General features: G+C 46.0%; 1 protein-coding gene and 2 long non-coding RNA genes across 13 annotated transcripts in view; 2 read left to right on the top strand and 1 right to left on the bottom strand.

The window, feature by feature from the left end:
- The window catches only part of NAV2 (neuron navigator 2), a 776,366-nt gene that overhangs the window by 592,320 nt on the left and 156,591 nt on the right, over positions 1–27,455 (bottom strand). The window lies entirely within an intron of this gene.
- NAV2-AS4 (NAV2 antisense RNA 4) lies at positions 5,204–18,389 on the top strand. Its single transcript, NR_033989.1, has 4 exons — positions 5,204–5,396; positions 9,388–9,532; positions 10,687–10,885; positions 17,558–18,389. It is a non-coding gene; the product is annotated as an NAV2 antisense RNA 4 (long non-coding RNA).
- Positions 22,053–26,610, top strand: NAV2-AS5 (NAV2 antisense RNA 5). Its single transcript, NR_049725.1, has 3 exons — positions 22,053–24,043; positions 24,869–24,997; positions 25,424–26,610. It is a non-coding gene; the product is annotated as an NAV2 antisense RNA 5 (long non-coding RNA).

The raw sequence follows: 27,455 nt of genomic DNA, 5'->3' as shown, positions 1-27,455 counted from the left end.
GGATCTAAATGCTTCTTAACTTTATGACTAACTCAGTAACTTCAGCTCCTGCTTTCCAAGAGCTAATCCAAGGAACAGACTACAGTGAAGTTTTCATGGGGCACCAATAACATGAGAAAAATAAAGACAATATTGGGAGTTTTTATACAAAAATCTAATTTTTTTAGTGTTTATTCTGAGATTAAGTTCTTTCCGACCTGGAGTGTGTGTGTGTGTGTGCACGCACGTGCCAAAACGCCCTTTCTTCTATAAAATAATGGTGCTGGATGTTCACTTTTTAGGTTTCTTTTTCTTTAATGTTTTTTCTTGGCAAAATAAGTTTCTACTCACTCTTTTTTTTTTTTTTTTTTTTTGAGATGGAGTCTCACTCTGTCACCGGGCTGGAGTGCAGTGGCATGATCTCAGCTAACTGCAAACTCCACCTCCCGAGTTCAAGTGATTCTCCTTCCTCAGCCTCCCGAGTAGCTGGGACTACAAGTGTGCATCATCACACCAGGCTAATTTCTGTATTTTTAGTAGAGACAGGGTTTCACCATATTGGCCAGGATGGTTTCGATCTCTTGACCTCGTGATCTGCCCATCTCAGCCTCCCAAAGCGCTGGGATTACAGGCATAAGCCACCGTGCCCGGCCTTCCCATTCTTAAAAAATGGGAACCACTGTTTTATAGACTTTTTACTTGGCAGCCTGAAGGCTAAAGGAAAGCTAGCTTCATTTTGGAAGGGAGCTGGCAAATGCCTTCCAGCCGCCTCTGCCCACCTGCCGGAGTCCATCCCTGTTTTGGCAGTGAGGTGATGGGGTTTCAGGTCTTTGGAAGTCAGACAGTGTGTATGAGAAATGGACTCACCTGCAGTTTCAGTAAAGGATGAAAAATAAGAGACATGGCGCACTGTTCTCTCAGCAGTGTCCCTAAACTGCAAAATGCTCCTTCTCACTAAAAATTACTGGGGATGAGGGAAGGCAAAGACCAGAAGGTCATGAAAAGAACTGCCCAGGGTCCATGATGGCTGATTTACAGCAGATTTATGCAAAAGATCTTCCTCAAACCACCTCCTTTTCTGCTACCATTTTTCTTTTCCCTTTGTCCCTCCATGGTCCCCTCCCAGATTAAAAACATGAAACTGGGGTGGGAGAAGAAGCACTGGGAGTGTGCTATGTTTCCTCGATACAAAAATTATTAATCCTTCATGCCTGCCATGTACCACACAGCAGGGAACGTGGCTTGATTTCACAAAGCTCTGGGAAAACTTCCCCACTGCCATGTCCCTACCATTTGTTAAGAGAAACAATTGCAGCCTGATTCCCAGGATTGTGTGTGTGTGTGTGTGTGTGTGTGTGTGTGTGTCAGGGCAGGGAGCTATCTCCTTGTGACTTGGCTGCACCCTCAACCCCACAGGGAAGTGGCAGGGAGGTCTGTAGAATTCCCCTCTGTAGGAGTGCTGGTGGGAGGTGGGCTTGACCAGTCAGAAGGGACCACCCCAGATGCAAATCAAGAGCCTAAGTCAGAGTGCATTCCAAGTGTGTGGACCCTAAGACAGACAAAAAGACATCATATACTTTGCAAAATACTGTGAGAGATCAAGCTGCAGAAGTTCATGATTGGCATCTGATAAATTCAAGAGAGTGCTGGATGCGGAGAGAGTTGCTGAGTGGACGGGGTGGGGGTGGGGCTGGTGCTACCATGTCCAGGCTAGGAAAAGCAGTTTCAATGGGCTGGAGAGCCTGATGTCTGTCCACTGGAAAGTTGAAGCTCATTGGACTGGTGCCTGATACAGACTTGGGAAAGTTAAAGGCAAGGGAGTGTGGCTATCGGCTGGGAGATAATGAAAGATGGAGAGAGAGAAAGAGCAATGAATTAGTCAATTTTCATGCTGCTGACAAAGACACACCTGAGACTGGGTAATTTATAAAGAAAAAGGGGTTTAATGGACTCACATTTCCACATGGCTGGGGAGGCCTCATAATCGTGACAGAAGGCAAAAGGTACATCTTACATGGCAGCAGACTACAGAGAATGAGAGTCACGCAAAAGGGGAAACCCTTTATAAAACCATCAGATCTCGTGAGACTTATTCATTACCATGAGAACAGTATGGGGGAAACTGCCCTCATGATTCAGTTATCTCCCACAAGGTCCCTCCCACAACACGTGGGAATTATGAGAGCTACAATTCAAGACGAGATTTGGATGGGGACACAGCCAAACCATATCAAGAGAGATAAACAATAGAGATGGTGGGGGTGGGAGGGTTGGAGAAAGATGCCATAGCATGGAGAAATAAACCAACTCTCCCTCCCCAGCAGCAGCCAAGGAGCCATGAACCCCAGGGACCTAGGATGTCCTCAGGAATGTTGGCCTGAGAAGGAAAGCTGGGATGAAGAAGAATTACCACTACCTTACTCCCAAGGTCTGTGGGTACAAAAATGGTATTTTCCAGATATGGACTTTGTGTAACAGAAAGTTGGCCCAGGGAAGTAATGGACCTCAGCAGAAAGCTGGAATGAACTTCAGATTTCCTAAGGGGTTGCCAAGCCAGTGGTGGCCTCATGATCAAGTGCAATCAGCCAGGTCAGGGGACTGTAGGAGAGCTTCCCCAGCCATCCTGGGGACTCTGAGAAAGTGGGAAAGACCTCTACTGCAGAGTGGGTTTTAAATGTCTGCCAATAAGCACAAGCACACCAGGCAAGTAAGAACTGTCTTTCCCTCTTTTCCCCTTCTTCTTCATCCAATCCTGGAGTGTGCAGTGAGTAAACAATGGGTGAAAAAAGAACAGAGAAAGAGATAAGAGGCCAATCATATTCATTCCCCCGAGACAAGGCTGACTCTGAAGCTGACTTTAGAAAGAGAAGGGGAGAAGATTGATCTCCAATTCAAATGCAGAGTTGGAATTAGCACACAGGACTGGGAATTCCAATTACAGAACTGAGGCTGTGTTTTGTGACTTCAAGTTATGCAAGATATTACCTAACAGAGGACGAAAACATTGTGGGGCCTCTTTGAGTTTTCACTGCAGGGGAGAAGAAAACACTGAGAGACAAAAATGAAGTCATGTTCTGCTCATTCTAAGAGTTATGCTTGATTAAAACACAGTGAATCAGGAACCAGGAGGAGCTGTAATGGCCCTGGGGTGATTTTTTTAAAAAGACAAGGCAGAAAGGACAGGTCTGCCTTCGTGACACTGTGGCAGTAGGGCCATGTGTGGACCTCTCAGCATGATGCTGAAAGAGAAGGAAACCTTCTTCTGGGGCAACATTTCACAATGCCCACCCAAACCTTTGCACCTCCTGACAGGGAGGCGGGGAACATTATCAGGAGAGGTGGGACCTGTCCCCGAGACCTGGGCCTCCACCCTAGGATACACGTCCAGCTTCCCCTAAGCCTGAAGACTGGTTTTTCTGAACTACCAATCTCAGCAGGTCATCAGATAAATACCTGGGATTCCATATCAATGAGGGAGAAAGGTTAAACTTCCTCAAAGGAAGGGAGGGCAGGTAGGTTATCTCCAGGAGGCATTTTTTGTCTCCTAGATAAGAAAATGCAGAATGAGGGCACTGTTCCACGATGTGATAGGTATTTCTCCAACCACTTCTTCTGTGGGAACAAGACTATCCCCGCAGTTTTGCCTGCAACCCCCTCACTGAGAGAAGTGCCCACTTTGCAAAGATGGGCAGGTTCTCGCTGAAGTTGCTTCCTACCTCAGGGACTACCCAGCCTTCTAACCTTCTTCCCCTGCGTGGCTCCCTGGGCACACAGACTTGTCAACACCTTCGTAAAGAAGATGCGTGGTTTCCACATCACTAACGACAGACCGCAGTCCTCACTTCCTCTGCCTGCACCCCCTCTTCTATTTCACTCAGACCAAGTTTGGTGGCAGGCTCAAGGAAGCATATCCAACACCACTTAAGAAATTCATTCTAGAGTGGTTTGGGATTGGCACACAGCAAAGCCTGAGCATTTCTGATGATCTGAAACATGGTGTAGGAAAGGGGCCACTGGAGACCAACACGTGGCTTCAGCTCTGCCACCTACTTGCCATGTGTCCTTGGGCAAATCAGTGCACCTCTCTGGGGCCCAGTTTCCCCATCTGTCAATGACACAGGTTGGACAGTAAGATCCTTTCTAGCTCTAATGAACTCCAGTTCTGTGAAATCTGCTATGGCTTAGGACACACTGCACTTTAGCTTGAATTTATGACCCAGACAACTATTTGAACACAAATTTGATATTTCTTTTATGGAGAAATGAATGACATTCACAGGGTAATAACTAGGAAGCCATTTCAAACCCGGGATTAACAGGAAGAAAAAAACCCCACATCTCCAAACTTGCTAAATATAATTGTGTTTACACAACACTGATCTTATATGCCACTCTAAACACGAAGCTGTGTCTGTTAGCTGAAGTCAAAGGGCCTGGATATCACAATCCTAAATAACAATTGTAGAAAGCCTAGAAGCTTGTAAAGAATTAGCAGGAAAGAGACACCATCTCCTAGGGAAGTCCTTAGAGCTTAGGAAAATTTGAGAGTGGGGTGCTGGGACTTCCCAATGTGAAATTAATATCTTAAAAAAAGATAAAAACAATAAAGTCCCCAAACTTCTGCAAGCTTTCCAAGAGTCTGTTACAAGCCTGGCCCTTTTAGGCCCAGCCCCCCACCAAAGCCAGTACTGACGTCAGCTCACTGTCTCCATAGCCGGCAGCCCTGGGAGCTGAACTCACTAGATCAATGAAAACATCAACCATGCCAGACGTGCCTGCCCTGCTCCAAGCCTGCCAAGGAGCCAGGGGTTCAGGTGCAGAGCCGGGCCATCTGTCATTAGGCTCTGCTGTTAATTGCTGTGCTAATGAACAAGGTTTGAACTGGAGGCACGAAACGCACATGCAGATTTACACACAGCTCTGTAGTACTGTGTCCCATTCCCTGACAAGCTAGCACAGTCTCTTGGATGCAAAGGTAAAGGTGGCCAAGTGACATCACACACACAGACGTTGCATAACCCAACCAGCAGATACTCCAAGTGGCAGATGTGCAGAATTTTTCAGCTAGGTGCTCATTCCTCCAGTCATCCATCTACTCAACAAATACTGGCTTGGTCGTGGCCACCATGTCAAATGCCAGGGCTCCAGAGATGACAACAACAGGGTCCCTACCCTCAGGGGATCATATCCTACCAGGGGAGATAGAGAGGTGAACAAACAGGACAAATACAGGTTGACAAGTGCTAAGAGAGAAGTCAGAGGCTGTGGGAACAGAGAGGAGGAGTATCTAACCAGCCTGGAGTATCTGGAAGACTTCCTGAAGGAGGAGAAAACACCTGGGCTAAATCTTAAAGGAAGACCAGAAGCTACCCAGGGAAAGAAGTGAAGGAAGGCATTATAAACAGAGAGGCCAGGAGGTAAGAGAGAACTTCAGTGTCTGGGGACACAGGGAGTCAGATACAGGAGGCTCAGAGTGGGCGATGGGAGGTGAAGAGTGAAGACACTGGGGTATAGAGAGTGAGGATGCTGGAGAAGAAGGTGGGGTGCAGATGGTGACGAGTCCTGAAGAGCAATTGCTTTGCAAACCTTGATCAAGCTCTTGCAATGTGCAAACGATGGCATTAAGTCAATGTGGGGGCCCTTGCCCTCATGGCACATGGACTTCCTAGAGGAGAAAGAAGAAGAGTGGCTCGGAAGAAGAAGAAATGTCACCAGACTGAGTTAGTCAGAGAAGGCCTCGCTCTAGAGGAAGCAGAACTGGGCCTCCAGCTTCAGGCAGAACTTCAACAGGTGAGCCAGTGCCACCACCCAGATGTTTTGTGTATGTTGCCTCACCAAATCAATGATGACATGACATCTTCCCATTTTCCAGGTAGGGAAACTGAGGCCCAGAAAGCTTAAATAGTTTGGGAGCTGGGAAGTGGAACAGGAGGGATGCACTGTTCCTGACTCCAGAGCCTGTGCCCCATCCATTTCACCTTGCTGCTCCCCAAGGCTTTCCTGGTCAAGGGAACAGCCTGACAAGCATGGGGAAGGCATGTGAAAGGCACACAGGAGGACCGGGCAGGAGGCGGTTTTCACTGGAGAAGGGAGTTCGTGTGGAGGAGATGGGGGCCTTGGGTGTGGAGTGATGGTCAACAGAGCAGCACAAGCTTCAGCTTTGAAGTCTAGGAGCCCAGGGACAAGTGAGGTACCCTCTCCTGGCTGCAGACTTCTCACTGCAAAATGGGACCTAACACCTGCTTCCTCTGGATGAATTCTCCAATGAGAACCCAGTGAGATAATGAGTCGAGTGCTTAGGAGATGGCCTCATGCCTTGTGAGTCCTCAACTGTGGATGATATGATCATTTTAATCAACAGCCATCATTATTCCCAATAATAATAACTGCAAGTAAGACCCCGGAGGTAGGTTGGGGCTGGTATATGGAGGACGCTGAGCTCTAGGCAGCCATGCCATCAGGATTCTGTTGACATTGGGGAATTAAAGTGACAATTCTTAAGAACAGACGTGAAATAACAGCTTGGACAGAGCATGTTCTCTTCTACAGAATAACACAGCAACTCCCTTATTCAGAAGTGTCATGATTTTTCTCCTATGCAGAAAAATTGTATCACAGTGAAGAAAGGCATGCCCAACACTTCAAATGCTGGCCACAAGGTGCCAGTGGGGGTGACAGTGACCATCTGAAGGCTGGACACACACCAGTGGCACTCCAGTGGTGAGGAGGCTCAGGAGGGCCTCATGGGTTCCAGCAGGGGCCAGGGGCACTCTGGATACCCCCGGCTGGTGAGGAGGGAAGAAGGCGGGGTCACTGTTGCTGGCCCCTTACTGCTGACACTATGAGCCTCTTGAAGGTGTGGGGCCTCATCCTCTAAGCTGTTTATCGCTGAAAATCAGAAACCTCTGGAGGCCACACTCCTGTAAACACAGAAGCAGATGCTCCCTGGACCACTCCTCTCTCTATCAAAAAGAATAAGGCAGTGGGCTCCTCCTCCAGTGGTGGGCTTGGAGACGATGGAGGGAGGCGAATGCCTTGTGAGGGGTGCAATGTGGCTTCATTTTGAGCCTGTCTCCCACCTTCTTGCTGTTCTGCAGAAGAGGGAGGCTGTGTGGTGGCTTCCAAGCGGCACAGCCATCCTTGAGGAAGGCAAGTGGGATCTGGCGTATGTCGGGCACCAACAAGTCCTTGAGCTCATTTACTGTCTTGTGACCTCTCTATGTAGCAGGCCTTATCCTCACTTTACAAACAAAAATGTGGCCCCAAAAGGGCAAATGACTGTCCAAGCCATGCAGCTAGTAGGCCACTGAGCTGGATCCAAACCCATCTGCCTAAACTCTAAAACCCCAGTTTTAGCCCCTGCCAAATTCTGCCTCTCAGAGCAGAGGGTGGGAGAGAGAGTAGTTGGCTACAGTTCTTCACAAAAGTGATTGAATGATAGTGGCCAAAGAGAAAGGAAGGGTCCAGAGCCATGCAGAGGGACAGTCCTGGGTTTGCATTTCTGCTGGAGCGACCGTTGGCACGTTACTTATTCCCTCTGATTCCTGCTTCCTCATCTGGAAAATGGATCTCAGAAGGCCTATGTGCAGGGTGGTTGTGAAGACCAGACACAAAAGACTGAAGCCCTTGGACTTCAATAAGTGCTCACTGATATCAGATATAATTATTGGTTATTATTACAGAGTGGCAGATAGGGTAAGGAGCTCCTCAAATATCCCCACTAACGCATAAGATAGGTCAAGAATGAAACTGTGAGCTGCACAGGGCGTGAGAATTTTCTTCTGCCTCCCCGATAACTGGATCCTTTATTGCTGAGCACTTATGTACATTATCTAATTTCATCTTACCCAAAACTCAGAAACTAAATGTCCCATCACTTAGAGAGCCAGCTCCGATTTGGCCGTGGATTCTAAAGCCTGTGCTCCTCAAAGCTTGGCTCTCTGCTGCTGTGGATCACAGCTACCTAGGACTTGGGGACTGGCCTCTGGGTCCATGGTCTCCAAGAGGAAGCCTGGTGTCTCCTCACAGCCCCCTCACCCTCCTCTCAGAGGGTCTGCCCAGCAGTAGCACGTGACTCAATCACTCTTCTAAACCCAGTGGCAACCACTGGCCACCCACTATGAATGACCCAAGTGGAAGAGTTCTCTCCAGATGGGGAGACGCAGGGTTCAGCTTGGAGTGTTTGGGTTCCAAGGCCCATCACCACGCCCCGCCTCATGGCCAAATGGCTGTTGGACCCAAATGCAGGCTTGCAGGGTCCAAATAAACCAGATAGGCAGGCGCATGGGCCTTCTTAAAAGATTCCAAGGCTGTTCTTCCATTCCCTTTCCATCAAACCGCTGCCTCAGCCCACAGCGAGGGCCAGGGGAGCTGTAAAATCCCCATTTGCCACAATTAGCAGATGAGTAATGAAATGGTAATGGCAGCCAGCAGTGGCCTCTGCTCTCCCAAGGCCCACGCCCCTGCCTCCTGTGAGTGCCAGCTTGGGACTGAGACCAGCAGAGCACCTGGTACCCAGAGGTACCTGGAGACACACCACTGGGCCCTCGCTTGGCAAAGTGCATCTTCCTGTTCCCCCTTCCTGAAATCTGAGCTGTCTTTGATATTCCTGGGGAGCTCATGTCCTCTATGAGAGGCCTTAGCTTAGGGTCTCCAAAGATAGGGTAAAATAGGGGAGGGGGCCCTAGAGGATGGGAAAGGAGGAAGGAGGGAAAGGGGGAACAGCATTTGCATAGAGCTTGGGGCAGGAAGGAGCTGTCACTGAATGGAAAGCAGGCAGCGTGGCTGAAACACACAGTGAGGTACAGGATTGGGAGGCAAAGACAGTCAGGTACACTGAGGTATGGGACAGGGAGGCAGAGACAATCAGGTGGGCCCCACAGGCCACGGGGCGGATTTTGCCTCAGGGTTGGCAGGGCATCCCATGGCTTCTTCCCTTCTGCCCTGGCAAGTCATTTAATACTTTTCTAGTTTTCAGCAGCATTTTAAAATTCATCTGTAGCTGGCCGTGCGTGCCTGAAAATGAGCTGGTGTCAGCTCCTGGGCTGTTGTCTAGTAAAATGCCCATGAGTGTTTGTTTATGAGTGCATCGCAATAAAAGGATTAGAGGCAGCCATATCCTTCCAGGGGTCCCTGTGGTCAGTGGCTGCCTGAGCGTGGAGGAGAGTGGAGCTCTGGGCACCCTGCCAGGAAACACTCTGTCTCCTTTGGTCCAGCAAAGAAAGGACCTCAGTGCCCTCAGGCCCTAAGAGTAAAGTTAAAGAAAGCCTGGGCCAGAGAGAAAGAGTTATCCCTCCAAATGCTTCCGTCTTGCTTAGTTAATCTAATCTGCTTTATGTAGCACAAAATAAACACAACCCCTAATTAGCAGGTTCATGCTGCAGCTGAATTCTCAAACGCGCTTCACAGATTCCAGCCTCAGCATTCCCAGAGAAGGCCCAGGATCTCCCTGAGAGGCCCAGTTGGTGTTTGTGGAATCATCACTCCTCTGGTGATCACGCAGTTTGCCTCACTTTCTCCATGGAGCTCTTTGCTAAAGGACATTCTCCTCCAGGTCAGTGCTCCAGCCAGCCAGCCCCAGCCTGGAGGGTCTGCTTAAATGAGATGGGAGGGGTAACATGGTGCATTGACATGCTGGGCTGAATCTCAAACCAAGGCAGGGGCAGCCTTCCTGAATGTCAAACCTGGAAAAGGGGGATTCTGTCATTCCTTCTTTCATTCAGCAACTAGTTACAGAGCACGCACTCTCTGTTAGGTGGCAGAGGGAGCTAGAGCTACATCATCAGGGTTCAAACCCTGGCTCTACCGTCTCCGAGCTCTGTGGCCTTGAGCAAGGGACTTACTGCTTTGTGCCTCAGTTGCTCCACCCATAAAATGGTGATAATGAAAGCACACATGTTAAAAGGAAACGTGAAGATTAAATAAGGCATAAAGAGTTAGGACAGCCCCTAGCACACAATAAGCACCTTACGAGAGCCCATGCTGCATGAAGGCAGAACTGTGCACCTGCCTTGTTCATCATTTTATCCAGGCACCTGGGAAGCCTGCCCTGAGAGGCCCAGTTGGTATTTGGTGGTAGAAGGCAGGTGTTCCACAAAGATTTTGGGAACGAATTATGAATTAATGAAGTTGAGTGGTTGTTCTTGTTATTATTATTATTGTTGTTAATATTGCTTACTTCAGGCTGCTATAACAAAATACCATAGACTGGGTGGCTTATAAACAACAGATATTTATTTTTCACAGTTCTAGAAGCTGGAAGTCTCAGATCAGGGTGCCAGCATGGCCAGGTTCTGGTGAGGGCCCTCTTCTGGGTGGCAGACTCTCATCTCATTGTTTCGTTTCCTTACACAGCAGAAAAGGTGAGGGAGCTCTATGGGGTCCCTTTTATAAGGATGTGGATCCCATTCATGAGGGTTCCACCCTTATGATCTAATTACCTCTCAAAGGCCCCGCCTCCTAATCCCATCACACTGAGGGTTAAGATTTCAGCATAGGAATTTTGAGTAGGGGCGCAAACACCCCGTCCAGGGCAATTATTACCGTTATACTCTGTAAGCTCTTACACGTCATGCCAGGAACACAGGAATGAATAAGTCAGATGTGATCTCTGCTTTCATTTATCAGATGAGAGGAATGTTAAACAACTAATAAATGTTTGCTGAATGATCAAGCGAATGAACTAATTACATGATTATTTAATTACAGCTGTGAAGGAAAAGCCCAACAAAAGGCAGGGTACTTTGTTCTAACTGAGGATGTCTACTGACACAGCCAAGCTGTAAAGCAGACCACGGACGGCAGTGCAGCGGGGAGAACAACTCTACATCTGGTTGGAGGTGGAGTAATGTCCAGTCTGGGCACAGAGAGATGGCAGGTGTGCAGCTGCACTCAGCATGGGATAGAGGTACCTGATCTAACCACAGAGAAGGGGTGGGTCAGGAGAGCTTCCTGGGCTGAATGTTAAATAACAGAATTGAAGTCAATTGAGCCAAGGCAAGGGTAGGCTGTTTCCCCTTTACTTCCTGTGAATCTCAACATTTAGCATGGGTCTGGAACATCACAGATGCATAACAAAATGTGTTGAATGAATGGATGGCTGAATGACTGAATGAATGAAGCTTTGATGAAATTCCCCTAGGAGTCTGTTATCCAGGAAAGTTGAACATCCATTAATCTTTCCAAGCCCAAATGAAGAAATTGAAGCCCAGAAGGAAGAAGTCAATAGCCCACTCTATTCACCCTACTTCTCTGTCCCTCTTTAGCTCTGTGCTGCTGTTTGAGAGGAATTGTTTGCTGTCCCAGCTATGCCCTCTTGTATTTTTACAAAGCACAGTTTTGTTGTTCCCAGCAAACATAGTATCTTTCTATGGCACAGGCTGGACGCCATTCTACACCTCCATCTTAATGCAAAGTTGTTCCCCAATGCTAGGGCTCAGTCCATGCTTGGTTTTGCAGCCATGTCTCTATCAGTAGAAATCCTCAGCTATAACAAGATTATTTTTACCCATTGATCCTAGTGGGCTTTCTTACCTGCAAAGGGTCTTAGGGGACACCAGGGTGGGAACCACAGAACCCTGACTGAGAACCACTCCTTTAGGAGCCTCCTCTGGCTGTTTGGTGTACCACTGGTGCATGGTGCAATATCTGGATAAGCCTGGCCAAGAGCCTAGTCTGCTTCTGGGGGCTTATCCTGAAATTCTGGAATGACTTCTGAACCTTTGATGCTCAACCACCTCCTCTTTGCAGGGCTGAAAATAACTTGGCCACTTCCTGACAGGCATGACTGGTGTCAGTTTGGGGTGCATGATACTGAATTAAGTGCCAGGTACAGATGGGCAATTTGGGGGCAGTTTTACTTAATCCGCCCAAAAGTTCTGCAAGGAGGTGTCATTATTCTCATTTAAAAGTGGAAGAAATCAAAACTCTAGAGGTTTGGTGATTCCACTCAAGGATGTGTGAGAGTTCAGAATCAGAAGCAGAAAGACTTAAACCAGGGAGATAAATGCCCCAAAGGAGGAACACCATGCCAGGGCACGCTCACATGCAGAACCTCCAGGCTTTCACTAGGGTGGCTGTGAGTTTTTGCAAACTTTGGCTCTAAAGGGATCATGTAACAGGCATGAGAAACCAAGAAAGTGGACTGCGCAGGCCAGGAGAAGGGAGTTAGCAGTGATTCCTTCTACTACTTTCTCACCAATCCACATCCTTTCTCTTCTGCAAAACCCATTTCATCGTATTATTATTTTTTTTTTTTGGAGAGAGAGGGTCTTGCTATGTTGCCTGGTCTGGTCATGAACTCCTGGGTTCAGTTGCTCCTCCCACCTCAGCCTCCCAAAGTGCTGGGATAATAGGTGTGAGCCACCATGCCCAGGTGAAATTTCATCTTTTTAATTCTGTTAATAACTTCATCTACCATTGTGTCTTTCTTGTTTGTTCACTGAAATTTCATAAAACCCCACTGCTGACATGAATACTTGGGTATGTTGTATATGGTGACCTTGGTCTGTTGCCCAGCCTCTGGAAACTCAGGTCCTCATCCAGGTGGAAACACCAGCCCAGCAGGAAGTCCCTTGGCTTTATTGCCGTCCTCATTTCTCCTACTCTCTGTCTGCAGAGATTGTTGAACAGTCAGAGGGACCAAAATAGAGCTAGCCAAAATTGCAAGTGCATTCTATCATCTCCCCCGAACCCTCATGCTCCTGTCCCACAACATCAGCCAAAGGAAAACAAAACAGGGAAAGTAGACATGGCTCATTTTGCTTGTAACAAAGAGATGAGTTGTGGTGAAGAATTAACCAAGGTGCATAAATTAGCACAATCCTATAGGTTGTAAATAAATCAGCCTTAAAAGTGTTCACAACTTAAGCCTCTTTTATCCTCAGCTGAGAAAGCCTTCTGTGATTTCCCGCCCACGGTGTTGTTAGTAAGGGTGGCAGTTCTGGACTTTGGGGGTGGGAGTTGTTAGGAAAGGTGGCAGTTCATTCGGTATTGTGGGGCTCAAACTTCAATACTACACCATTGGCTTAGGAGAAAGAGGGGCCTATGTCACCTTTTACTTGCAGCAAAAAGACAAAAGATCCCCATCATGTGGTAGAAGCTGTTCTGAGTTCTGCAGCTCTTGGAGTCCCTTAGAGATCTCATTTGATCTCAAGTCTTTAAGTCCATCTCTACACATTGATGACATCCTAATTTATATCTCCAGCCAGGACATCTTCCTGAATTACATGCTCATAACTCCAGCTGCCTATTTGACTTCTCCACTTGCACATATAAAGAAATCTCCACAGTAACACTTTAAAACCAAATTCCTGCTATTCTCTCCCAAACCTGCTGCACATGCAGCCTTTCCCATCTCAGTCAATGGCAAGCCCATTCTTCTAGTTGCTCAGGCTGAAACACTTGGAATCAACCTTGATTCCTTTCTGTCACTCACATGCCTCATCCCATCAACCAACAAATCCTCCCAGCTCTACCTTCAAAGCAACCACAGTCCTAGCACTTCCCACCCCACCCTGCTTCCACCTGGTCCAAGCCTCCAGCATCACTTCCTGAATCGCAGTAACTGCCTTACAGAGTTATTTGTATCAAGGGAAAACTGGAAACTATTCTAGTATCCATAATATATATTTTATCTCTTAATTTTCAAGGCTTTTGTACTCTGGGTTGTCAAACTATTTAAGATGCTGCTGAAGAGCAATTAGCATCTGGGAAGATGTTCACATGAAATTACAAAGTGAAAAAAGGATATGTAGAAACTGGAAAGTTATATTGGAAAATGCTCTCTGGTTCTGAAATTGTAGAATTTTAAATTTCTTTTTACACTTAAAAAATTGTGTTCATGATTTGGAAAAAATACAATTAAAAATAAAATGATGGAAAAGTAAAAGACAGAAGTAGAGAAAATACATGGTTGATGTAGAGGACAGAGAGGCTGCAAGTTCCCTCTCAGGCATGGAATATAATATTTGAGCTGTAAGTGCTGTGAACCCCCATTTTATAGATGGAAAAAGAGAGGTCCAGAGATACACAGTGAGTTGCCCAGAAAAATAATGCCTGCTTTCATTTACTCCTGTGTACCAGACATTGTGCTATGTGCTTTATAAATATGAAAATTTGTATTCTCCACACTGGCTATATGAGGTTAAGAATATCTCCCTCTACCACTCCATCCATTCTACAGATGAGGAGACTGATGCTTATACAAGTTATATAATTTGCCCAAAATCACATGGCTAGTCATATTCAGAGCCGGTACCCAAACCCCAAAGGTCATGCTCTTAACTATCACTGTTTTCCTACTTTCCAAAGTCAGACATTCAGCTGGGAAGGAGAACCTAGATTTCCAAACTCCCAGTCACCTTGCACCATTTTGAAACGAAGGGTGGATGATTAGAATTAAACAGCTCAGAGGCCCCAAAAACTCCTCCTCATGCCCCTGCTTCAGCCCAGAGCACAGCCTGGGCCTGCCTGGGCTGCAGCCATCTCTTCTGGTTCAACTCATGAGTCCAAAGCTTTTCCCTCTTTGAAGGAGCAGCTGCTGCGGGCAGGAGACTTCCAGAGAACATGAAGTAAATCAGTGTTGGAGACTGGCCTGGCGTTGGAAGTTTCTCCCAGAGCCTGGCCTTCCACCCAGAATTCTCTCCTTTGTGAGCCCCACCGAGGCAGTAAATGCATAATGGATTTAGGGACCATCCCCTAAGGTTAAATGTCAAACACACCTTCAAATAAAATGTCAGGGATAAAAACAGTTAGTGAGTTGGTCTCTCTGAGATGCGGAGAAAGTGTACTCTGGTCATTTCCGCAGCTTCCAGGCTGTGTGGAGAATCCTGTGGCCTAAAGGGGAGAATTGGGTTGAGGAGTTGATAAATATTTTCACCTAAAATGTCGGTAAAAATAAGGTCAGAAAAACCGCAATGTTAAAGAGCTGCAGAATGTGTGTTGAGAGGATCTGGTGAGAGAATGTTACATAAACCCTGGGTGAACAGAATTGTTGTTCTAGTACTGAGGACAACAGTCTCCCTCCAAGCTTGAAAATGAGTACATTAAGATTTTCCTGCTAGAGGCACCCTCCAAGACAAACACAAAACACCCTAGAGAAGAGCTGCACAAAAGCATCATGATGAGGCAGAATAGCCCCCAGCCTGCAGACCTAGGTGCCAACTTTGGTGCAAATCTTAGCATTGTAAAAGAAAATATACAGATTAGGCTGAAATGGTGGGGCAGGGTAGAGACTGGCATATTAGTCTCCTGGGGCTGCCACAAACTGGGTGGCTTAAAGGAACAGACATTTATTGTCTCACATTTCTGGAGGCTAGAAGTCCAGAATCAAGGTGTGAGCAGCGCCATGCTCCCTCTGGAGCTCAGGGTAGAATTCTTCCTTGCATCTTCCTAGCTTCTGGTAGTGGCCATCAAGCCTTGGCATCCTTTGTGTACAGCTGCATCACTCCCATCTCTGCCTCTTCATTGCACAGAGTTGCCCATCCCATGTGTGTCTCTCTCCTATTCTCAAACCAGTCATATTGGATTAAGGGCTCACGCCACTCCAATAACCTCATTTTAACTAATTACATCTGTGATGACTTTATTTCCAAATAAGGTCACATTCTGAGGAATTAGGGGTTAGGACTTCAACATAGGTTTTTGGAGGATCCAAGTCAACCCATAATAGTTGGCCCACAAAAGAAACGAAAATAATGGGAGCATCAAAAGGGAGAGATTTACATAGTGTGCCAAGCATGCCTGTGCTTCATGGGGACAGGGCCCATGACTGTCTACACCACTAGATCCCCTTAGGCCACACCCTGGCCCAGGACACCACTCTGTCCCCTCCACAGAGATGCCCTGCTGCTGATGCACAATGAAAGGAGTGTGGCAGCCACATCAGGGTGCCATCACCCTGGGATCTGACTGTGTAACCAGCAGGGCTTCCCAAAGTAGCCCTACTCTACAGTTTTCCATGCAAATAACCACTGCAAAGATTGGGGTCATTCGACATTCTACTTGCTTTTCAACACCTGTGGGTCTCAACTTTTTCTGGTTGAGAATAACACCCCTTTGAATGCAAAAACTGTGGATGACACACTGGAAGAGATAAAGAAACGTGAAACACCACCAAACAAGTCAGCAAGAATAACATCACCATTGCTGCAGCAGAAGCAAGTCTCACCCTTTCTATAAAAATGCCCGGTCATCACACTTGTCACACATGGTCTAGAAATGCAACTGCAGAAATCACAAGCTTCTAGTCAGCCCTCCACACCGCCCCTGCCCCAGCCTGGGTCTCTGTGCAGGTAGAGTTACGTATCGTCCTTCTTGGGCTCCCCTACATATTTCCAAAGCAAAGTTCTCACATATCTCAAGAAAATCAAAGGGATTCACTATTTTACTTCTTTACAGGTTGTATCCCTCTCTTTGCAGCATCATCCAAGCCAGTGTCACAGCACAAATATTCAGTTATTGCAAAATGCAATATCGTGCTGATCTGCATAGTCTGGTGGCATGCCTGTGAAGGGCTGTGTGGCATGTCAGTATGAAAACACACTGCTGGGAAACCCTCTCCAGCACTGACAAGGAGAAGGAGACCAAGTTATTTTCAAACATTTTCTTTTCTCCTGGCAAAGGGTGAAACAGGAAAGTGGCTTCCACCTGGTCCCGAGTTATTCAGCAATTCCAATTAGTCATTTTGCCCCATTCTAGTTAATTGAGCTTTCACTCTAAGATCCTAAAATAAAATGTGAATGCAGAACAGTTACCTTGTGGTTTTAGCCTACCAGCAGGGGATGGGACCCTTCCTTTTTAATTTTTTCCCTGCCTCCCTCCCCGTCATCTAGCCTCCCTCTCTGGTTCTCCCCAGACACATGGGCCATTGGTAGTTGGCACCTCGGAGGCATTTACCATTACTGCCCACCTTGCTCAGTCTCCTCTCATGGAGGCCAGTTTTAGTCTCTGTCTCTAATTAAGCCCTAGCCTCTGTACCCAGAATCTTCCCAAGAAAGCAAACTGCCAGCTATGAGTTTCACTTTACAGCCCATGCAAGGCTGTTGTCCCTCAAGACAAACTGCCACCCTTCCTACAGCCCCCAGCTCTCAGAGTTGATCAGACCCTCCCCTCTTTCCACCCCTCAGAGTCCCAACAGAGCCTCCTAGGTAGAGAGCTCTCCAGGGAATGAAGTGGTTTCCTGATGGGAAGGGAAACAGAGAGTTTATCTGTTTCCTTTGGAACCTGTCCATGCAAAGCAATGTCAAAGACTGGGCTGGGGTACAAAAGGCATTAGGCAGGGACCCAGAGGGCAATGTGCAGAATTCTGGCCACAGCCCCCAGAATGTGTTGTTACTGGCTATGTCCATTCTTATTTGGCAAGCAGTCTTTGGACAGGCGTTTGGTTTTCAGGCTGGGCTTGATGTGTCCTGGGTCAGGAGGGAAAGGCTGGTGGCCATGCTGGATCACAGGGCTTGAGGCTGGGGGGAGGCTGCAGAGCTTGGCAGGGTTCCAGCAGTGGTGCGGGCTGAAGGGAGTCACCACCGGGAACCCAGGCCCGGGCAACAAGAGGTTCTCTCATTCTGGCTTCTCCCTCCAGCACCACCTGCCAGGCCAGAACAGAAAGAAGGGCGACGGAGACTGGCAGAGAAACAGCAATTACTGCTCAGTGAGAAGTAAACAGCGTCTGCTTCCAGAGGCTTTACGGACCAGAAAGCCCACAGGAAATAGCTCCTGCTTCCCAGCCTGGAGGTCCTCATGCACTAGCCCTCCCTGCTACAATTTTGATGGTTTTTCGCATATTTACAGAATTGTGCAACCATCACCATGATCAGTCTTAGAAGAGTTAATCACCCCTGACCCCAGAAAACTCTGTATTCATTAGCAGTCACTCCCTTTCCCCTTTCCACCCCTCTCCAACATTAGGCAACCACTAATCTACTCTCTGTCTCCATAAACTGGTCTATTTTGGACATTTCACATAAGCCTCCCTGGATCCCAGTTTAAGCATCCTGGGGTTTGTCTGCCTGCCAGAGCCATGGTGCCACTGGGGCTACCTGTCCTGTGGGATGACAAGGCAGGTCCAAACCTTTGCCTGCTCTCCCATCCATTCCTTTTGTGTTAGTCCATGTGTCTCCCGACTGTTCTCTCCAACAACAACACAGACTGACAAAACCTACTGACTTGGAGTCAGGAACAGACTTTGCTATTTTCTGGCTGTGTGATCCTGATGAGTCCCTTGAACCTCCTGGACTTGTTCCTCAGCCTAAAAACCAAGACTAATAAATCAAGTCTATCTCACAGCCTTACGTGGGGATCAAAAAACATGGAGCATGTGAACACACATTGTACATCACGAAGCTGTATGCAAATAAATATCGTGTAACTCCAGCCCTTTTTGAGTTTATAAATAAAAGTGAAAACCTCATAACCCTAAGTCCTCCCCTTCCTTGCCTCTATTCCTCTGTGCTCGTTGGTCTGTGTGCCTACTACACAGCTGCCAAGGATAACTCAAGAGACCCAGCCATGAGAAGCAAGAAGAGAAGAGCTGACTACTTTCCAGTCCAGTGTCCCTAGATGAAAAAAACAAAATGATCAGCCCTGGGCTGGGTAACCTGTTGCCCGAAAAGTGCTGGCCCTGCCACAATACACAGGCACCATGCAATGACCAACGGACTTCGGGCTGGGGCAGTCCTGGGTAAAGCGCTGGCTCTGTTATGCCATCTCTGCCAACGTAATTAACCTCCTCTCACCTGTTTCCTCACCTGTACAATTTGGAATAAAAATATTTACACCCTTGTGAGGCATCTGCTAGGATCGCCCGACATAAGGGCTCAGCACAGAGCCTGGCTAATGATAAACAATGAATTGCAGCCACTGTGATTAATGCTGTCATGGTTGTAATGATTACTGCTGTTATCAGAGAAGGAGACAAGAAATCAGTATGGAGAACTGGCTCTCATGTAGGTTTCAGGACAGCATCCACAACCTCTCTGGACCCCAGTTTCCTCATGTTTAAAATAGACATAAAAATAGTAGCAAACTCATAGTGTAACTGTGAGGGTTAATGACTTCACACACTTAATGTGCTTAGAACAGAGAGCTATGGATTTATCACTGGATCTCCTAAGACAGTTTCCCTCATCCCCTCACAGATCCACAACCACTCCTGTGTTTCTTCCTCTCACGTTCTCCTCTATACAATCTCTCTTGGTCCCTGTTTTCCATTTAAAAGGTTCTTCTGGTATTTCTCCAACTTGCATAATAGCTTCTAGTTTTCCAATCTCATCGAACAGTCTGTTTGCACCTGCAAAAGTCAAAGAACTGAAATATTTGATAGATCCTCCTGGAAAAATGCTAATGCCCAGTAAAAGAATGACCCCAGGAATGAGAAAAGACCTCAGACCCATCCTTGAAGGTGGGTCCCTGCCTGCTAAACCCAGCTCATAACATTTTTTTTTTCCTATTTCTTTCCAGTTGGATGTTTTGGGTGAGATTAAAGCAATTCTAGCAAATGTCAGGGGCTCAACTGCCCAGTGCATTAGAATAAAATTTCATTTTCTCCTTAGAGTTTTAGGGGCAGTGATTCTAAGGCTTTAGGGGGGAAACATTGATGAAATCTAAAGAACCAGCAAAGAGAAGGTGGGGCAAACAATTATCTTCTCATCTTGCCTGCTGCTGCTGATTGCATTATCATTTATCGCAGTGCCTGCTCTCACCTAGGAAAAGCATCTTGCAATATCGGGTTGAATAAATATCCCAACCATCGGTGCGGGAATACAAGCCCAAATCAGCCAAATCTTCAGTGCATTTGCATCTAATCCCTTTATAATCCTTTCTATGGAATGCAGTAAAAGCTGAGCAAGACATTCCAGCCTTCCCTGGGTGCACAGGACACACACACCCTTGCTCAAACTCCATAATGTAATTATCCAAGGTGCCTCCTTTGAGGGTTTGGGGCCCCAGCACTCATGCTAATGACGTAGTTCCTGTCCAAGATGATTTTGTGCACTTGCATGCGCATGCACACACAGACACACACACCCACACACACAAACACACTAATAAACAATAGGGGACGAAACCTCCAAAGGAAAGTGAATGAGTTGGCACAGACCTTAAGGGTTGCCTCGCTCACTCATCCCCAACCCCATTTTACAGAAGAGGACACTGAAGTCCAGAGTAAGGGACTGACAAGTCCTAATGCTCTGTCCTTTTTCTGTTTCCTCATTTGTCACATGCAAATAATTTCTTCTATATTGCAGGGTATTTGAGGATACAATGAGAAACACAAGCCCTGAAATGTAGTAGATGCTTAATAATTTTACTTTCTGCTCTTCCTTCTCAAACTACCCAGTTATGTAATAATTTTGTTTTGTTTGCTTTCTCCTGAACACTTAGTAGGACCACAATATTAAGGAAGCTAGGAAATTTATGAAGGGCTCACCTTGCAAAGCATAAGCTTTTCCCCCAGGGCAGATGTTGAGATTTCGGAGGTTTTACTTGCTAGTTCATTTATTTAACAAATTCAGAGTCAGCCACTGTTACAGGCATTTGGGGATTCAATAGTGAATAAAACATTTATTGAGAGAGATAAATCTTAAATCATTATACTCATAATCATTTAATTAAAATTCTGATTAAGTGATACAAAAGGCAGACAGGTGGCTGTTGGAGTACAGGACGGGGAACTTAGAGACTGGAGTGGAGGATAATCAGGGAAGGCTTCCCTGAAGAGGTAACATTTACATGCAGGTATGAAAGGTGATTAGGAACTCGCCCAACAGTAAATGGGACTGAGAATGAGAACTGCGAAGAGAAGCCCAGGAGGAAGGAGTAGAAACATATGCAAAGGCCCTGAGGAGAGAAGGTACCTGCCACACTTAAATAACCAAATAGGATTAGCAGGAAGTCCAAGGGGCTGGTTTTGTGCTTGTATGCTTATTTGTTTTTCTTTAGTTTGGAAGAGGACAAAGGTCAGCATCCATAGAGCCCTGGGGAGGAAGGGCCATTAGAGTGGATAGTCAATGAGTCAGCCTTGACTCATCCTGACCCTGATTCTGACCCATGGATCAGGTCAGGGTAGGAGTTGCTGCAACTCCAGAGGAATCAGTAGGACAGCCTCAGGAAGAGAAGGCTGAACCCCTGAGACAGAGCAAGGCTGGTCCACAGAGCAGCCCCCATCAGCATGTGCTTATTAAAACAATCTCCCTCCTTCATCCCACCCCACCACTGCCCTTGCTATAAAAGGAAACATACTTTCCATTTCATCAAGGACCAACCTTTCAGAGCCAACTGAAATCCAGAAATGCATGTCTCTTAGGCTTCACGTATTTATTAATCCTCATCCCAGGGGCACTGTGTATAAGGGTTAAAAGCCTGGGCTCTGGAGTTAGACTGCCTGAATTTGAATCCTGACATTGTCATTTACTAGCTGTGTGACCTCAGGCAAATCTCTGAACCTCCGTGTCCTGATCTATAACTTGAGGATAACAATGGACTCACTGATAGGGTTGTTATAAAGATTAAATGAGATAATGTACACAACATAGGGACATATAGGTGGAAGCCTTCAATAAATGGAAGCTTTATGATGATTATAATGATGATGATTTCATTAATATCATCGGCATCATAGAAACCATGTAGTATCTGTCTATAATGCTCCAGAAACTGAGCTAAGCATTTCACATCCTTTATTTTCAATGTTCCTCCAACTTTGGTTTAATGATCCCCATTTTCTAAATAAGGAGACAGGCTCAGAGAAATTAAGTGATGCAGCTATTTAGTGACACAGTGCAGATTCAAACCCAGGCTCCAAAAGTAGTCTACCCTCCACATTTCTATACCAAATTAGCCACTTCTCATCAAAATCCTGTAAAATCCTGTTAATTACAACAAATGAGGATGAAGTCAGTTTATACTACCTGTTCATTAATTGGCAGATTTTTAACATCATTCCTTGTCCCAGGAGGACTCTCCAGGGGTCTATTATTACCATACAATTCTTTGGGGGAAATGAAACAACAGCTGGCCCTGCCAGTCACCATGGCAACACTCCTGTAACTACTAGAACCATGTCAACAGCAACTTTATACATACATACAGATTCCAAATTTGCACTTAACTGCTATATTATGTATGTACTTGTTCATGACACCACTTGGAATTCAGGTAGAGGTATTTTCAATCAGCTCCAACATCCCTTTCCTTCCTTGGATGTTTCCAAGACACCATCAAGCCAGGCACATTTAGGCAGAGAGGTTGCTGGGGAGAATAGAACATTGCCAAGCTCTGGCGCCAAATACTGCACTCTGGCAACGTGTAAGTGTAAGGCAGGCATTGTGGGTGTGTGACCTCTGCAATCACACAGGGCCTCATGCTCAGGAGGGCCCTGTGCTTGATTCAATACTCTGCTGGCCCCATCTTGAAATTCTTAATGATTTTTGAACAAGGGGCTCCACATGTCCATTTATCAGTGAGCCCCTCAAATTATATAGCCAGTTTTGTGTGAGGACAAAGCAATGGACAGATACTATGAAGCTCCTTTCTGGGTGGCATTTTCTCTTTCTTTTCTCCTTCCTTTCAGAGCTACCAAGTCACCCCACACTCTAGCTCAAGAGCTCTACCTGACCAAAACTCAATGGCCTTTCCTCAGGAAATCCAGCTATGCTAATGCCACCAGAACTGAGTCAGAACTCCTAACTCTACAAATATGGCTCCTCTGTATTGAGTGCCTGCTAGGTGCCAGGCACAACACTCAACTGGGACCAATATTATTTCTGATCTGGGAGATAGATAGGTATGATCAGCCCCATTTCACAGTTGAGGACATTGAGGCTCAGAGAGATTCAGTGACTTGTCCAAGGTCACACAGTGCATCAAACACAAATCTGATGAGCCTTCTCAAAGGCTCTTGATGCCACCTGCTTCCAGAACATTCTGCCACTCACTCTGCCTAGGCTGCTGCCCTGCCTGACTTGAGCTCAGGCAGTTCTGCCACTTGGGTCAGATCGGCTACAAGTCCTGGAGTATGGGCCCTTCCTAGCCCCATGCCTATAGTTTCTGGCTCCTCTTACCTCTTCCAGATTTGGATGAAAACACTCTCCAGCATGGGGTGGGAACTGGTCTCCTGAGAGGCTGCCATTAGGACTGGGTGATACAATCCTGAAGTGCAGAAGAGTTAACCCCCACTAGGAAAACTTTGACCAGTGGAAAATAGGAGTTGAGAGGGAGCAGGACACATACATTCCTTCTTCCTCTCTCCATGGACTGCTTCATGACAGTCTGCCTTGCCGCTCATCCAGCTGAATCCCACGTGTCATGCTGAAAGGTCTTGTGCAGTGACCTTCTGGGTGTCTCCATGGCTGTTTGTGACATAATAGCCATCAAGGAAACACACCACTTAGTGTGGCTTTGCATCCTTCTTTGCCTCGCTTCCTTGTGTCTCACCTTTGCTGCCATGGATTTGCATCTTCCAAATGAAACATCTCACTTTCAATTTTTGCCCCAGGCTCTATCTTCTAGAGAAGCTAGCCTAACATACATATAGGAAGGGCAGCCTTCCCACTCAGCCCAGGGTGTGGTGGAACTTCATTTAGGCTGCATGTGAAAATTGGCCACCTGCTTTGCTGTAAATGTGATTTGTGGTTCTCTACTGTCCAACTGCTGTAGGAATGGCCCCCACCTGAGAGATGCAATGGCCATTCCAGCTTGCTGGCCAGTACAGGCCTTCCTTCTTCTCTCTCTCCCCACTCCATCTGCATGACCCGACCCACCCCACCTCAAGGCATGGTTAATTGTTCATTAGTGACACCTGGCCCAAGTTGACCCAATGAATCTCTCCCTCTGTTGGGATTTTTAAACTCAGGACTAAGTGATTCCATCTCCGCTTCTTTCTACATACTCTCTCCAAAACCACATATGCAGTGTCTACAGCTCTAAGTAAGAAATCCTGGGAGTGGTCAGTGGACATCCTTTCTGTTATGTGGGTAATGTCAATCTGCAGCATGAGAGAAGAATTCCACCAATATGCAGAGAGAAACAGAGGCAGGAGCTACAGAGAATGTCCTAATGGCAGTCTCAGGTATGTGGCTTTCTGCATTCCAAAGCTCAACTGCTCTTCCACCCTCCCCAAGGTTCAGTTGCTCTGTGTGCTCACGCAGTAACCTCCATTAAATGTCCCTTGTGGCCTAATCCTATTCTAATTATGCTTTTGCCATTTGTGACAGACGGAAGTACAGCTAGCACAGTGTATTCCCCCAAGGGGTGAGAGAATGGGAAGATGGGAAGAGGCTAAGTTTTGGACTCCAACAGGCCTGGGTTTCAGTCTCGAACTCCATCACTTTCTATCTGTGGACCATGGACAAGTCATTTAACCTCTCTGTGCCTGAGGTTCCTCATCTGAAAATTAGAGGAATAACACTATGTTTCAAGGCAGATGTGAGGATCGAATTGGGACCAGTTTTACAAATAACATTCTTAGCACAGGGCCCCCACACAGAAACTGCTCAAAAATGTGAATTACTTTTTCCTACCTTACATGCCAGGGGGAGGGGCTATCTCTAAAGGCAGGCTTTGCTTCAGCCCCAGACCCCATTTTGTTGGGTCAGAAAGCACTGTTGGTTACTATAAACTGTCCTCATTCCCAGCACTTTGGAAGGGGAAAACAAGACCTAGAGGCCTTCCCCAGAAATCAGAGATTCATAAACTTTCATCCCTGAAGCGTATCTCTCAGATAGGATAGCTCCACCTTTCACATTGGGCTGCTCTGAAAATCCTAAAGAGTGGTCACTCAGTTTGGACTTGAATATGTCTCCTAACAGGAACCTCCCTCCCTCCCCAAAGCAGCGCATTACATTTTTACATAACTCTGACATGAATAAAGGTTTAAGTTTCCCTCTTCCATCAGGCTTGGAGTCCTTGACAGATTGGAAACTCCAGATTTCTATGACAGTAGGATTGAAGCCTTGAAAGATCTTAATGTCACCATCATGAGCCTAAAAGAGATCTTTGAAAAAGATACTACATGGATCATATGGTAGGAGTATGTTTAGTTTTGTACCAAACTGCCAAACTGTCTTCCCGAGTGGATATTTCATTTTGCATTTCCACCAGCAATGAATGAGAGTTCCTGTTTCTCCACATCCTCACCAGCATTTCGTGTTCTCAGCGTTCTGGATTTTGGCCATTATAATAGATGTATGGTGCTGTCCCATTGTCATTTTAATTTGCATTTGCTTGATGACATATGATGTGGAACATCTTTTTATATGTGTTTTTGCCATCCGTATATCTTGGTGAGGTGTCTGTTAAGGTCTTTGGCCCACTTTTAATCAGGTTGTTTGTTTCCTTATTGCTGAGTTTTAAGAGTTATTTGTATATTTTGGATAACAATCCTCGATCAGATTGTCTTTTGCAATTATTTTCCCCGCTTCTGTAGCTTGTCTTTTCATTCTCTTGACAGTGTCTTTCACAGAGCAGAAATTTTTAATTTCCAGCCATTATATTCCTTGACATTCACCTCAAAGACTTGAAAATTATGTCCATACAAAAACCTGTACATGGATATTTATTGCAGCTTTATCCACAATTGCCAGAACTTGTAAGCAACCAAGACATCCTTCAGTAGGTGACTGTATCCATTGTGGTACGTTCAGGCTATGGAATATTGTTCAGCACTAAAAGGAAATGAGCTATCAAGCCATGAAAAACATGGAGGAAACTCAACACATATTACTAAGTGAAGGAAGACAATCTGAAAAAGCTACAAATTGTATGATTCCAGCCACATGACGCTCTGGAGAAGGCCAAACTATGGAGACCGTAAAAAGATCAGTGTTTCCTGGGAGTAGGAAGGCGGGAGAGATGAATAAGCAGAGCACAGAGGACTTTTAGGGCAGTGAAACTACTGTGTATGATACCATAATGGTGGATACTTATCATTACACATTTGCCCAAACCCATACAAGGAACAACAGCAAGAGTGAACCTAATGTAAACTATGGACTTTGAGTGATTATGATGTGCCAGTGTAGGTTAATCAATTATAACAAATGTGCTACTTTGGTGACAGATATCGATAATGGAGGAGGCTGTGTATGTGTGGGGGGCAAGGGGTATATAGGAAATCTCTGTTAACTTCTGCTCCATTTTACTGTAAATCCAAAATTGCTCTAAAAAGAGGTCTATTCAAAAAGGCATTATATAACTCAATTTAATCAATTTAATCAAGACCATGTTTACACAGTACTTTGTGTCCACACATCATGATCATAAGACCAAAATCATGTTGGAAACTGAAGAAAGAAAATTACCTGACAGTCTTCCAATCCAGAGGCGAAGTCCAGGTCCCATCTCCTGGAATTCTGATAGGTTCCATGCCTACTTCAACTAACACAATGTGGACACTGCCAGTTTCCAGAGCCAGGACTTATGAAGCTGGCAGTTTGTATTCTCCGCTATTTGAAATACTGTCTCTGGGAGCAATGGACTTCAAACTCTGAAGCCACCATGCTAATGTGGCTGCATGTAGGTGTTCTAGCCAATAGTTACAACTCATATGTAAGTTGCTTTGCTGGAGGGATGGCTTGAAAGCCTGCCTGAATTTCTGACCCACAAAGTTATATCATAATAAAATGATGTTATCTTAAACTACTAAATTTTGGGGTGATTTGTTATGCAGTAAGAGATAACTGAAACAACCTTTGCCCCATCCAACAAATGGGAAAACAGAGGTATAACGAGGTAAATGACTTGCCTAGATAGCTGGGCAACAAGTGAGGCTGGACTCCAAGACTTCTTATTCTTAGCCCCATTTTTCTGCTTCATCTTAATTGCACTATGAAAACCTATAGCTGTCATCAGCAAAGCGTACCTGCCTTTAATTTTAACTAAGGTAACATTATCTGGCACTTCTGTAGCCTGGTGTCAGTAGAGTTCTTTGGCTCTATTCTAAGTGCTTTATGTCGATTTACTTATTTAATCCTCAGAACAAGCCTATGAGGTAAGTGCAATTATAATCTCTAAATTATAAATAGGGAAACTGAGGCACAGAATGATTAAGTAATTTGCCAAAGGTCATATAGTTGGAGGGGAGCAGAGCAGGGATTTGAACCCAGATATTTTTGTTCCTGAGACCATGTGCTTAACTACTGAGGCATATTCTCAATAAAAAAACCTAGAGTATCTTAGATCTCTTCCATTTATTAGATAGATCTCTTCTAATAGAGATGATCTGAATTCATGGCCACTATGTGTGGCTCAGTGCCTCGTATGGCTTCCACCATGAGTAATTTCTAAAAGGTCTCAAGACGCTTTTAGGAGACTTGAGACCCATCGACTGTTCACTTACAATGCGGAGCAAAGCTAAAAAGGATATAACTGCTTTATATCCAGTTGGGTGCAGCATCTTTTTGTCTGCCTGAAACTCCAACAGAGAAGCCAGGGCCACCCAACGAATGCCACAATTAATTTCCCAGAGCGCAATATTGCCTGTG

This window comes from Homo sapiens, chromosome 11 (genome assembly GCF_000001405.40).
Source record: "Homo sapiens chromosome 11, GRCh38.p14 Primary Assembly".
Classification (NCBI taxonomy): Eukaryota; Metazoa; Chordata; class Mammalia; order Primates; family Hominidae; genus Homo; species Homo sapiens.
Note: the sequence above shows the minus strand (reverse complement) of the source record. Positions and strands in the feature narration are given on the sequence as shown.